The 13,276-nt window shown below is 55.8% G+C and overlaps 1 protein-coding gene across 3 annotated transcripts in view; it reads left to right on the top strand.

Moving 5' to 3' along the window:
* Nucleotides 855-13,276, top strand: part of PPP2R2C (protein phosphatase 2 regulatory subunit Bgamma) — a 243,219-nt gene continuing 230,797 nt past the window's right edge. For 2 of the 3 annotated variants that reach the window (XM_047415891.1, NM_001206994.2), the window contains exon 1: nucleotides 855-1,094. The gene's annotated coding sequence lies outside the window, so the exon portion shown is untranslated. Of the gene's footprint in view, nucleotides 1,095-9,038; nucleotides 9,121-13,276 lie in introns of those variants that run through there. The other variant, NM_001206995.2, reaches the window with a different exon arrangement.

Genomic DNA, 13,276 nt, shown 5'->3' with positions numbered 1-13,276 from the left:
GTCTGCTTCCACTTTGTGCACATTGGCATCACGGGGTTCTGTGCTCAGTTAGGGTGAGGCAGCTGGGACCCCAAGAGGGCCAGCGGCCCCTCGTGCCTTAGGATCACCGTGGGAGCACGCTCTCTCCTCCCTCCTTGGATGGGCTTCTCTAGCCCTGGCCCTTCCCGCGGGACGTCCAGCCTCCTCCTCTCGGCGTGGCTGATTGCTCTTCCTCCTTCGTCTGTTGCACGTGGAAGGTCGGAGGGCGTGGCTGTGAAGCTCCCGTTCCTCCTCATGGCATTGATTGCTGTCCCCTTCGCACCCGGTGGGGGGGCGGGGGTGGGCAGCGACCCCAGCTCCCAGCAGGGCGGGTCTGGGGAAGGGCAGGATGCAAAGGGGCTCAAACCAGAATCGCAATCTGGAGCTGAGCCCCGCCTTGGCCGCTTACTCCGCCTGAGTCCCTTTCCCTCTCCGTGCCTCAGTTTCTCCTCAGTAAAATGGGCATCGCCATCAGGCAGGCGGCCCTCGCGCGGTGACGGCTGGCGGAGGCGGCTGCCGCTGGACCGGTGGGTGGGGCAGAAAGGGACGCTTCGGTCCGTGGCGACAGCCCCAGCGCCCGCACCCACACCCCGCCCCGCGCCCGCACCCCGCGCCTCTTACCCGGTGCCCGGCCCCGCGCCCCGCGATCCGCGCCCTGCGATCCGCGCCTCGCGATCGTCGCCCCGCGCCCACCCTCGGCGCCCGCAGCCGCACCCCGCGCCCCGCACCCGCGCTCCGGGCGGAGCCTTCTGGGCGCGCCTCCCCGCCCGCCCGCCCGCGCAGGGAGCCGAGCCCGGAGGAGGCGGAGGAGGAGCGGCCGCCGCGCCCGGCCCCCCGCAGCCGCCCGGAGGACGCCCGTCGCGGTCGCAGCCTGCGGAGCCGCCCATGGCCCAGCAGCCGGGTTAGCCTCGCCGCGCGCCCCCGCCCCCCGCCCCCCGCCCCGGGCCCGCGCTCACGCGCCCTTGCTGTTTTGCCAGCTGACCGCGCCCCCGCCGCGCCCGCCGCGCCCGCCGCCGACCAGGGCTCCTGGTGCCTGTGCCAGCTCAATGGGGCCGCCGACCTCGAAGTTTCCGAAGGTAAGCGCGGGCTGCAGGGCGCCCGGCCCCGCCGCTCCGGAGCCGCCTCGCGCCCACCCCGCCTCACCCCCAGCCCCGCAGGACCTCACCCTGCCCGGGGACGCGGCCCTCGGGTGCGGGACTCCCGCGACTGGAGGAGAGGGCGCGTCTTCGCGGGCCAGAAGCGAGACTCAGAGAGCCCGGGCACCGACCCCGGGGCGGTCCTGGGGCAGGGCTGGCTCTGCTAGGGTCCGAAGTGCCGGGGTCCCTCCGGAGCGCGTGCTCTCGGGGTCTTGAGGGAACCCGACAGAACCGGCTTGGAACCCTGCCTCCAGCACTTGCTCGCCGCGCGAGCCAGGGCAGATCGCTCCACCGGTGTCAGCCACAGCGTCTCGGCCGAGAACCGGCGCGCTCGAGCCCCCCCTCGCTGCCCGGCTGAAGGTGCGGGCGCGGGGTCCGGCTCGGAGTCCGGGGTAAGACCCAATGCGGCGGAGTTCAGTCCCGGCCGCGGGTACCATCCAGCAGCGTCTACGCGCTCCTCCCGCTGCCCGCGCCGGTGGGTGCTGAGTCAGGCCCGGCTGCTGCTCTGGTTTGGAGAAGCCTTTTTTTTTTTTTTTTGGCTGGCAGGGACAGTCCATGACAGTGGCGCGCCCAGAGCCCGAAGAGCGTTGGTGGGATGGACAGCTGCTCTCGCACCCTGGGAAGTGACCCGGGTTGGCTTTTATGCGGAGGGTCCCAGGGACAGGGACCACACACTCTGTGGCCCGAGACGCTGCCCCGCCTGGATTGAATCCTAGCTTCGCCCTGACCGGCCGGGTGGCCTTCAGCAAGTGGCTTACTCTCTCAGGGCCTCAGTTTCTCTTCTGTGAAATGGGGATGACGTTGCTTAGCGGGCAAGGTTGTGGCAGAGATAAAAGAAGAGGCCTATGGGGGGTACTGGTGAGGGCCCAGGAATCTGTTTTTGCTTTCTTCCCTCCTCCCTTCAGGGGCCCAGTGAGGTGGGTGATGGAAGGTACAGAGGGCTGGTGGACCGGGGTAGGGTGCTGGTCTCTGTCACTTTATATAACAAACACACTGTTCCAAGAGCTTTCAAATATCCAACCCCCCCCCCCGACTCCGTTGAATCCTCCCCACATTATCCCCATTATAGGATAAGGAAACTGAGGTGCAGAGAAGTTAAGTAACTTGCCCGAGGCCACACAGCTGCCAGTGGGAGAGCTCCAGAGGCTGTGGCGAGTCCTCTTTGGCATGTGCTCACACTGTCACGGGAAGACATCACAGGGACACTGTCAGCAACATGGAGGGGACGGGCTGTGGCAGGGAGTGGGGCCCGTTGCCCACAGGTGAGCTCCTCTGTCAGCTGTCAGTGCCCCACAATCTGCTGCAGCTGCCTCCTCAGTCTCATTGTCCCCCGCACTCTGACCACGCCCTGGTCGCCTGCTCATGCTCAGCTCCCTCCAGGCCCCTGAATGTGTCTGTTTCCTACCTCCCTGCTGTGGAGTGAGGGTTTCCGCCCACCTGGGATGCCTTCTCTGTCCCAGGTGTCCTCACCCCTGGGAATACCCTCACCCCTTGAGGGCAGGGACTATATCCGGTCATGTCTGCAGGACACTGACTGTGCTTGGCAAATCGCAGCTTCTCAGTGTGGAATTGTTGACTGTCGATTAGTGAGTGCGTGAGTGAGTGAATGCCACATGGCCTTTCTCTGCTTTTCAGAAAAGGGGTAGGCAGGCTCGATGTAGAACCTTCTTCAGCTCTCTTAGGACTCCCTAGAGCCTGCTTGCGGCTGGCAATGGGTCACGGAAGATCTTTGGGCTGGGAGTCAGTCCCTGGGTTCTAAACGCCAGTGTGTGTATGTATCCATGTATGTATCTGTGGGTGTGTCTGTGTATCTGTGTGTGTATCCAAGTGTGTCTGTGTAGCTCTATGTCTGTATAGGTGTGTCTGTGTGTGTGTTTGTGTCTCTCTCCGTGTGTGTAGCCATTAAGCTCTTTTTGGAATAAAAAAATTGCAAAATGAATGCATGATCACCAGCATCTTGGAAAAACATGAAACAATATGGAAATAGTTGGAGTAAAAGGTGCAAGTCCTCCCCTCCCCCTCCCCCCACCTCCTTCCGACCCAGGACCAGCTACATAATTTGTGGGGCTCAGTGCAAAATGAAAATGCAGGGCCCTGTGTTCAAAAAGTAGGGGAAAGTGTGGTTAAAAGTGCTCACTTTCTCCTGCACTCTCTCTCCGCCTGTCATGGTGGTTTTATTTCCTGTGTAACATCGTGTTCCTTTGGGCATGGGGATGCTTGCAGGGTGAGTGCAGACTCTTGCAAGACGCCTGTCTTCTGGCCAGGGACAGGGAAGTTGAGTGTCGAGTCAGGCATTTCCCCTTCCCACAGGTCCACAGGTCGATGCCCCAATCCATGGCAGACAGGTACCCCACAGGGCATTGCAGCCTTGGGGTTGAGACAGTTGGTACCTGATGTTCCTGCTGAACTGCCCACCGAACACACAGTGGCACTGCCAGCCCAGGGAAGGGCGGTCACCGCCATGATCCACCCCAGGATGCACTGGGGTGCATACACTCCTAGACCCAGACCCCTGCCAGGGGAGGAGGGCAGCAGTGACACTGAGACAAGGCACAAAGAGGAGGAAGGGTGGGGTCCAGGGTGCCAGAGGCCAGGGGAGCAGTCAGCTGAGAACCCAGGTTGGGGAGGTGGCAGGAGGCAGGAGCACACGCTCCATGCTCACAGCACAGGCTCTGCTGTTCCATCAGACATTGCTTAGGAAACACACATTCAAAGATTCAGCTGTCAGGAATTTTATGACTCTGCAGAGCCTTAAACCCCAAGCACGAGCCCCTTCCAAGCATGAGGCCTGTGTGGCTGCCTGGGTCACACACTTGTGAAGCGGGTGCAGCTCCAACCCCATGGCTGTGGATAGGCACAGAGCTCCAGTAACAGCAGCCAACACTGAGAGGTGCTTTGTAGGATCCAGGGACGCTTCCAGTGCTTCCTAGGTATGAGCTGCTTTCCTTCCGCCACAACCTGGTGAAATGGGTGCTCTTGTTGGCTCCGTTTTACTGAGGCACAGAGAGATTAAGTGATCTGCCTGAGGTCCCACAGCTGTTAGTGGCGGAGAGCCTTTCAGTCCTCCCCCAAGGCTTGTCCTTGGTCACTCTACCCCACCACCTCTCAACAAGGGCCTGGAGCTCACTGCTGCTGTCAGAAAAAAAGCAAATCTTATTTTTTTCATTTGCCAGTATGGAAACGCCCCTGGCTTGGAGTTGCTTCCAGAAGAACATAGAAGTTCCAGCCCTTAGTCTGGTAGCCAAGAGCCTGGGTGGGCTGGGCCTGGGGGGCTGTGCACTGTCCCCTGCTTGCCCTCCTCCAGGAGGGTCTTGCATGGGTCTTGCATGGGGCTGCTCCCTGCCCTGGGGCACCCCTGCCCCTGCCTTGCCTGGCTAACGCCTGCATAGCCTTCAAGGGCCCCAGGATGCCTCTTCCTTGGTGGGCTTCCCCTGTGGTTCCCCCAACACCTTAAGGGACATGTCAATTTTGACGTGGAATCCCCAGGGTTTGAGTTGCCCCTTGGGGTCACACACCACATGTTTGAGGAGTGAATGGATGAAATGGCCTGAAATCTGATTAGCACATGGAACACAGTTCAGGAAGGGAGCTGTCTTAGTCCGTTGGGGCTGCCGTAACAAAACACCATATAGCCTGGGCAGCTTATGAACAACACAGGTTTATTTCTCACCGTTCTGGAGGCTGGAAGTCCAAGATCAAGGCGTGGCGGATTCAGTGTCTGGTGAGGACCTGCGTTCTGGTTCACGGATGGTGCCTTCTTGCAGTACCCTCTCAGGGTGGAAGGGGCAAATGAGCTCCCTTGAGTCTATTTTAGAAGGGCACTAATTTCCTTCTAATTGTTTCCCCAGGGCCCGGCTCCTCATATCTCACATTGGGGGTTAGGATTTCAACATAGGAATTCAGGGGGACACAAGCATCCAGTCCACAGCAGGGGGGATTTTGGAGGAAGTTATGCATGGGGCAAGAATTGGGTTAAGGTGTTGGGAGTGTAGTTGGCACAGTGATCACAGATGCTGCGTGTTGCAAATTTGCAGCCCTGGGTGAAGTTTAATCTCTTTGCCTCTGTTCTGTGTGTGTGTGTGTGTGTGTGTGTGTGTGTGTGTGCTGTGTATTTTTTCAGAACTGCCATTTATTGGGCACTTCTGTGAGCCTGGCACTGCACGGGCACTATGCACTATACACTCTATCTCACTTATCCTCAAGTCAACTTGTGAGGGTGTGGACGTGCCCACTGCCCCCGGTTTTACAGAGGAGCACACTGAGGTGCCAGTGATGTGCTCCAGGCTGCTTAGCAGTGAGAGATGGATCTGAACCTAGTTCTTCCTGCCTTGGCTGGACTGCGAGCTGCTCTCCCAGTGTTTAAATTTAGGTTCTGTTCTGTGATTCCTTCTCAGGAAACTGCTATTGTCAGGGCTGCCTGCTCATCAGAGCCCCTGTCTCAGCGCAGTGTTCCCCTGGCATTGCAGAGCCACAGAGCTGGGAGCCACTGTTGCTGTCTTTCCTGTGCACTCCTGGCTGGAGGCTGGTGTCCCATCAGAGCCGCAGGGCTGGGTGGTGAATTCCCAGGATGGGCACCTGTGAGGGTGCAAGGTCAGAAAAAAAGATGACGCTGGGCTTTGGGGGCTGTGATGGAGACTCACTGGGTGGGGCATCTTTAGATGGGAGGCCAGGCAGGGAGACACTGTGGAAATCCTTTCCTGGGTCTGGAGTGGACCGGTTGCCCAGGTCTTCATTCCAAGCTTGGCTCGGTGCAGGGCTCCATGTTGAGTGGGGTGTGGCTTCATGGTGGGGACACTGTTGCACTCTTTGCTGGCACTCCTGGTCAGAGGATGGTGTCCATCAGAGCCTCTTCCATTGTGTAGTTCCTGGCTGCCAAAGAATCTTTCTGCGGCAAGAATCTGAAATCCAACCTAGTTTGACCCAAGCACAGAGTTGATCAGGCTGAGTATTGGGAAGTTCAGGGGATGCCCTGATATTTTAGGAGGCTGAGCACAGGTGGCCTTCTCCTTGTTAGGAGGCAGCCAGAGGTGGCAGGTAAAGGCTCACACACCTGCAGGTCCCAGGAGGAGAGAAGAGGGCTCTTTGTAAGCCCTGAGAAAGGCTTCTCCTTGACCTTGCATGGGTGGCCTTCCCACTGCAGGTACAATTTCCCTGTCCCCATGGATGGCTCTCCCAAGCAAGGGGATGGGGCCCCTTAAGTGACAGCCCCACCAGCACCCCAGGTCACAGATGGCAGCTGAGAGTAGTGTTAATCTTCTTAGCTGGCACTTATGGAGAACTTGCTGCATGCTTGGCACAGGCAGAGCCTGTTAGGTGTATCAGGCGCTCACTCGGTGTTGGGATGCGATCATCACAGCCACTTTGCAGGTGATGCTGTGACATGTGGTGAGGTTGGGAGAAGTCACTGCCCCAAGTCTCACCGCCAGGGGCTGTCCTGCTGGGCTCGGGCACCTTTAAGAGGATGGGTGCTGAGGCTGCTCAGAAGCACCTGGCCGCCTCCTTCCTCCTGCCTTCCTGTCCACAGGGGAGGAGGAGAGGTCTGGGGTGGGGCTGGGGAGGGTTTGCCTGGAGTCACGCAGCAGGTGAGAGTAGAACCAGGGCCTGTGGGATGCACCTCACTCCAGGCCAGCGTCCGTTGTGCCCGCCCATGTCATCTGGGTCTCCAGTGCCCAGGTGGGGAATATTCTGCAGTAGCTCACCCTCAGATCTGCCTCCTCTCCTTCTTCATCTCTACTACCCCAGGTCAAGCCATTGTCTCCTCTTCTGGACTACTTGAGGGCCTCCCAATCCAGACTCCCCTTTCAACTCCCTAAAATAACCATGCTGACCTCTGCTGTGCCCATCTCCACAGCGCTCACTACACAGCAGCCTTTTTCCCGACCTTGGTACATCCTGGGCTCTCTCCTGTCCCGGGCCCTTTGCCCCTGCTATTCCCTCTGCTCCTGGTGCTAACCCAGCACTCACTCTAACTCATCCTTCAGGTCGCAGCTTCCATGTCCTCTCTCCAGAGACCTTCCTTGCCTCCCAGCTAAATACGTCCCACCCAGGGAGTCTCCATCACTGTACTCCGGGTCCAACGTCATCATCTTTTCTTTTCTTTCTTTCTTTCTTTTTTTTTTGCTGACCTTGCACCCAGCATCTCCTGACTATAAGATCTGTAAGAACTCATCTGTGTTCTCGGAGCCTGGCTCATAGTTCCTGTTGTTGTAGATGTTGTTGTCCTAATGCATCAGGTGTGTTTGGATAACACCAATGAGTGGTTCAAATATTCTTCCCAGATTCTAATGTCAGTGCTGCAGGACCACAATACAGTGAATTTAAAGTGACTATTTCTACTCTTTCTCAGGAAAGGAACCTATTAGCAAGTACAGTGTAGTTAAAAATGACCTCCTTGAAGGCTGGTACCTTGAATCCTCCTCGGTATCTTCTAAGGAGGCTTGTACCCCTTGTTCCTTTCCAGCCCCAGCTTCTCTCTGCCCTGGTCTGTGCCTGGAACCTGATCCTGTCAAATTTACCACCTGGATCTCTGCCGGGGAGTCTTTGGGTGGGTTTTGCCCACAGGAGGCATTGCCAGGAGCTGGGAGGGCAGGTGGAGAGAGAAGTAGGGTTGCCGCCTCCTTCCCCCTTCCCTCCTTTGGAGGAGGGTGCAGTGGCTGCATCCTTCTGTGATAATAACCAACTCAGGGGCACCCCGAGAGATGCTTGCAGATTCTCCCAGGAGGCAAAACTTCAGGGGGAGAATCTGGTTGCTCATGTTGCTGGGGAGGAACCACAGCCTGGAGTAGGGATCTACACTAATGCATGGGTTGGCAAGCTGGGCAGGGCTCTGGAAAGAACAAGGTTGCAGGATGATGACAAGGTGGCCTGGGGAAGAGGTGTGTGGATGGACCTCTCAAATGACTGCAGAGCATGAGGTATTTGTGCCCTGTAGTAGTCAGGGTTCTTCAGAGAAACAGGGCCAATAGGATCACTGCACGTGTGCGCACACACACGCACACGGAATTGGCTCAGGCAGTTATGGAGCTGAGAAGTCCCCTGAGCTCCATCCGGAAGCTGGAGAACTAGTTGTTCTAGTTTGAAGGTTTGAGAACCAGGAAGGCTGATGTTGCGATGGTGTGAGTGCCAATCCCAGGGCAGGAGAAGACTGATGTCCCAGCTCCAGCAGACAGACAGAGAGAGTGAATTCTCCCTTCTCCTGCCTTTTTGTTCCATTCAGGCCCTGAACAAACTGGGGGAGGCCCATCCACAGTGGGATTACTTAGTCTACTGATTCAAATGCTCATCTCTACTGGAAACACCCTCACAGACACACCTGGAAATGATGTTTAGCATGATATCTGGGCATCCCGTGGCCCCGTCAAGTTGACACATGGAATGAACCCCCACGTGCCCCATGCGGATGCTCCCCAGAGGCATCCTTCACGCAGGAGGCTCTCGGTCACAGGATAGACACGCTAGCCTGCCTGTGGGTGCTGGGCAGACTCTTTCCAGCCACCCCAGGGCTCACTCTTGGGCTCACACACAAAATAGGGCAGAGATGGGGAAACACACAGGCAGAAAATATGGCCTTCAACTCTCCAGGGCTGAGCTGGCCACTGCCACAGCTGAGGTCCCAGTCTCCAACATCAGGGGACAACAGTGACTTTGGGTGTGGCAGCATTACCCGAGGAGACCAGCAAGCACCCGGGGGGCAGGTTGGTTCCCTTGTTCTCAGGGGGGCGGATGCATAAGCCAGATACAGAATCGCCTTCCCACCCGCTTCTGTCAGCAGTGTCATTGTGGAATTCCTAATTCACAGTCACCGTCGCCCACAAGCATCACATCATTCAAAGGATTCCTGCGGTGGTGCAGAGCTGCGGCAAAGGGCCCTCGCCCGTGGGGTTCACTCTCATCACCCAGAAGCAGGGAGAAGGGCCTGCGGCTGCAGGCCTGGCTGCCACACCGGCCTCCAGACAACACACAGCAGGTGGGGCCTTGTCCTGTATGCCTTAGATCAGCGGCTGACTGTTTTGTGACTGTCACCTGCACAGCCACATACACAGGTTTGAGGACCAGTGGATGGAGTTAGGAGGAGCCCTTCACTGGCTTATAATCACTAGGGTGTCAAATAATTTATCATCCAAAGTGGGGTACCTTAGAGAATGAAAGGGTGTGTTATGAATGATTGCACAGGGCAGCCCCAGACGTGGCCACTGTGTTAGTGTGTTGGGGCTGTGTGGTGGTCTGAATGTTCCCATCTCTCCAGTAGTCCTGTGCTGAAATCTACCCACCAACAGAGTATTGAGGGTGGGGCTTTGGGAGGTGATTAGGTCAAGAGGTCAAGAGGGTGGAGCCCTTATAAAAGAGGCCGAGGCAGATATCTACCATGTGAGGACGCAGTGAGAAGGCGCCATCCTTGAAGCACAGAGCCCTTGTCAGACACTGAATCGAATCTGCTGGCATCTTGATCTTGGACTTCTCAGCCTCCAGAATTGTGAGCAATTTCTTTTTCTTTTCTTTTCTCTTCTCTTCTCTTCTCTTTTCTTTCTTTCTCTTTCTTTCTTTCTTTCTTTCTTTCTTTCTTTCTTTCCTTCCTTCCTTCCTTCCTTCCTTCCTTCCTTCCTTCCTTCCTTTCTTTTTCTTTTTCTTTTTTTTTTTTTTGAGATGGAGTCTCACTCTGTCACCCAGGCTGGAGTGCAGTGGCATGATCTTGGCTCACTGCAATCTCTGCTTCCTGGGTTCAAGCGATTCTCGTGCCTCAGCTTCCTCAGTAGCTGGGATTACAGGTGTGCACCACCAGGCCTGGCTGATTTTTGTATTTTTAGTAAAGACAGGGTTTCACCATGCTGGCCAGGCTGGTCTTGAACTCCTGACCTCAAGTACTCTGCCTGCCTTGGCCTCCCAAAGTGCTGGGATTGCAGGTGTGAGCCACTGTGCCCGGCCAGTGAGCAATCAATTTCTGTTATTCATAAACTACTCAGTCTAAGGTATCTTGTTGTAGCCGTCTACAGACTGAGGCTGCCTTAACAAAGCACTACACACAGAGTGGCTTGAAGAAAGGAAATTGATTGTCTCATGGTTCTGGCAGCCAGCAGTCTGGGACGAAGACGATAGCTGGGTCAGTTTCTATGGAGGAATTAGAGGGGGAATCTGTCCTGTACCCCTCTCCCAGCTTATTGTGATTTGCTGTCCATCTTTGGCATTCTTTGGCTTGTAGATGGTGTCACCGTGGTGTCTGCCTTTCTCCCTGTGCCTGTCTGTCTCTGTGTCCAAATTTCCTCTTTGATGAGGGCACCCGTCATTTTGGATTGGGGGTAAACCCTACTCCAGCATGGCCTCATTTTAACTAATGACATCTGCAGTGACCCTATTTCCAAATAAGGTCACATGCTGAGGTATTGTGGGTTTGGACTTCAATGTGAATTTTTTGTGGGGAGAGCACACAGTTCAACCCATAGCAGTCACCCCCTGATAACCCCTTGAACTAATTTTGCTTCTAGTTCATTAGGCGTGGTGTGTTTGGGGGTCCTGGTGCCCCAAGAAGGAAGGCTTCCATCAGGGAGCAGGGCCACAGTCTGTGAAAGTGGACACTGGGACCGAGGCCATTTGGACTCCTGCTGCTGCTGGGTGGCCTGGTAGAGAAGGGGGCACTGGGATGAGGGGTGACTGCTCCTAGCTACCAAGGATAAATGAGGTCACTTCTTGGTGGTATCTGGGGCCCAGAGGATCCACGGGGATGCTTCTTAGCACTGACATCTGATAAAAAAGGTCTACTGAGCATGGCAGCCCTGAACATAGAGATGGGAGCATGACAGACCCAGATCATGGGTGAAAACTTGGGTCGTTCCCCCAGGTGAAGAACCAGGTGCTCTGGCACAGGCAAGGTGCCTATCGGTGGGTGGAGGAAGAAGGACTCGCTGCTGATTGGCCCTTTTTCCCCTGCCCTCATCTCTCCTGGCCACCTTGAATGAAGGCTACCTGTGGTGGACAGTGTGGTGCTGTAGGCTCAAGGCAGGCATCTGAAGTGGCGTCTCCCTCAATGATACCGTTGCTGGTGGGACCCCGTGCCTTACTGTGTTGGGCTGAGAGTTTCTTCCCGGATAGGGGGACGAGGATGTTTGCTGAGTGGCCACAGTGGACTGCGCTGGATTTCTCCACTTGACCCGTAGATCTATTTTTCACCTCTCTGTCCAGTGTGGTGCCCTGGAGGCTGCATCACCTGTGGTCCCTGCCCTAAGGCTCCCGTGGAGTTTGGCCAGTGGGAGGCACCAGTCAGAGCTTGCAGGGCAGGAGGGAGAGGGGGAACACTCCCCGTTCTTCTCCCTGCGGTGGCGCTGCAATCCTAGGGTCGGCTGTGCTCTCCATGGTCACAGCTTGTGCCAGTGGATCCTGTCTCATGGTCCCAGTTCTCTTCCCCTGCACCTTTCAGCCCAGGGAGTAACAGCCTCCTGTCCTTGCCCTTAGTCCCTATGTGCCCCAAATGCTTCCTTGGTCACTTCCTGTAGGTCACCTCTTTGTTTACTTCTCTTCTGTTGAACTATCTGGGGTGAATTCTGCCTCCAGTGAGACCCCAACATCTATGGAGGCCATTGGAACTGGGGCATGTGTGTGGCCATTCATCCTGAAACTGGCTCTTGCCTCTGCTACTCACATGACATCAGGCAATGGCCCCACCTTCCTGAGCCTTATTGTCAAATTAGGACAATAAAGTCCACTTTTGCAGGATGTTTGTGAGTGTAGTGGAAAGAATAATGCCCCCCAAAGATGTCCACATTCTAATCCCCAGACCTGTGAATTTGTTACCTTACATGGCAAAAGGAAGTTTGCAGATGAGATTAAGTTAAGGCTCTTGAGTTGGGGAGGTTGACCTGGATTATCTGGGTAGGCCCAATGTCATCACAGGGGTCCTTATAAGAGGGAGGTAGGAGGGTCAGAATCAGAGAAGGAGATGGGATGACACAAGCAGAGGAGAGAAAGAGGAAGAGAGGGAGAAGAGAAGAGAGGGAGAAAGAAAGAGGAGAGAAAGAGGAAGAGAGGGAGAGAGATTTGAAGATGCTGAGCTGATGGTTTTGAAGATGGAGGGAGGGGTCATGAGCCAAGGAATGCGGACACCTCCAGAAGCTCGAAGATCAAGGAAACGGATCCTCCCCTGGGGCCTCCAGCAGGAACCAGCCCTGCCCACACCTTGACTTTAGCCCAGTGAGGCTGATTTCAGACTTCTGACCTCCAGAACAGTTAGAGAATAAGCTTCTGTTTTTCTAAGCCACTATGGTTGTGGAAATGTGTTACAGCAGCCATAGGGAACTTACACAATGAGAACAAATGAAAAAATTGCAGGGAGACTGCCTGCATTTCAGAGCAGGTGCCATGGAAATGATTACTGCATTTGGGAACAGTGGGCTCAGGTCTCCCCTTGTGGCAAAAGTGGACCTGTAGGCTCAGATGTGTAGCACACACAGCACCTGCTGTCTTTGCTGGTCCTTTGCTGCCACTTGTCTCATCTTCACTCACATCATCTTTTCCTTCCACTTCCAAAGTCTCTCCACTTTCTCTCCAGTTATCTGTGGCTTCCTAACAAATGATCCCATGATGTGCCAGCTGAGAATGGCCATTTCATTGTGTTTCATGGTTTTAAGAGCCAGGAGCTGAGGAAGGGCTCAGCTGGGTGATTCTTCTGCTGCATGTTGCCTACACCGAGGTCGCTTGTTGGTGTTCAGCTGGAGGATGGACTGGGCTGGGTGGCCCACAGTGGCTTCCCTGTAATTTATGGTGCCTTGGTGGGGACAGCAGGGGCTGAGCTCAGCTGGGACTGTCACCTGAGCCCTGACATGTGGCTTGTCCAGCATGGCAGCCCAGGGTGGTGGGACTCCTTCCATGGTGCTCAAGTTTCCTGGTGCAATGTCCAGGGAACAAGATGGCAGTTGTGTGGCCTTTGATGCCCAGCTTTTGGTGTCCCAGAGCTTCATTTCTGCTAGGCTCTTGGTTGAGTGGGTCACAGGCCCACCAGACTCAAGAGGAGGAGGCATAGACCTCATCTCTTGATGGGGGGACTTGTGGCCATACCACAACACTTTACCTCTAGTTTTATTTTCTCCTTTTCCAGCTGGGAGTTTCAGTTACTTTTCTCCCACTGGACTCCTATT

This window comes from Homo sapiens, chromosome 4 (assembly GCF_000001405.40).
Source record: "Homo sapiens chromosome 4, GRCh38.p14 Primary Assembly".
Lineage (NCBI taxonomy): Eukaryota > Metazoa > Chordata > Mammalia > Primates > Hominidae > Homo > Homo sapiens.
This window is presented reverse-complemented; position numbering and strand designations above follow the sequence as displayed.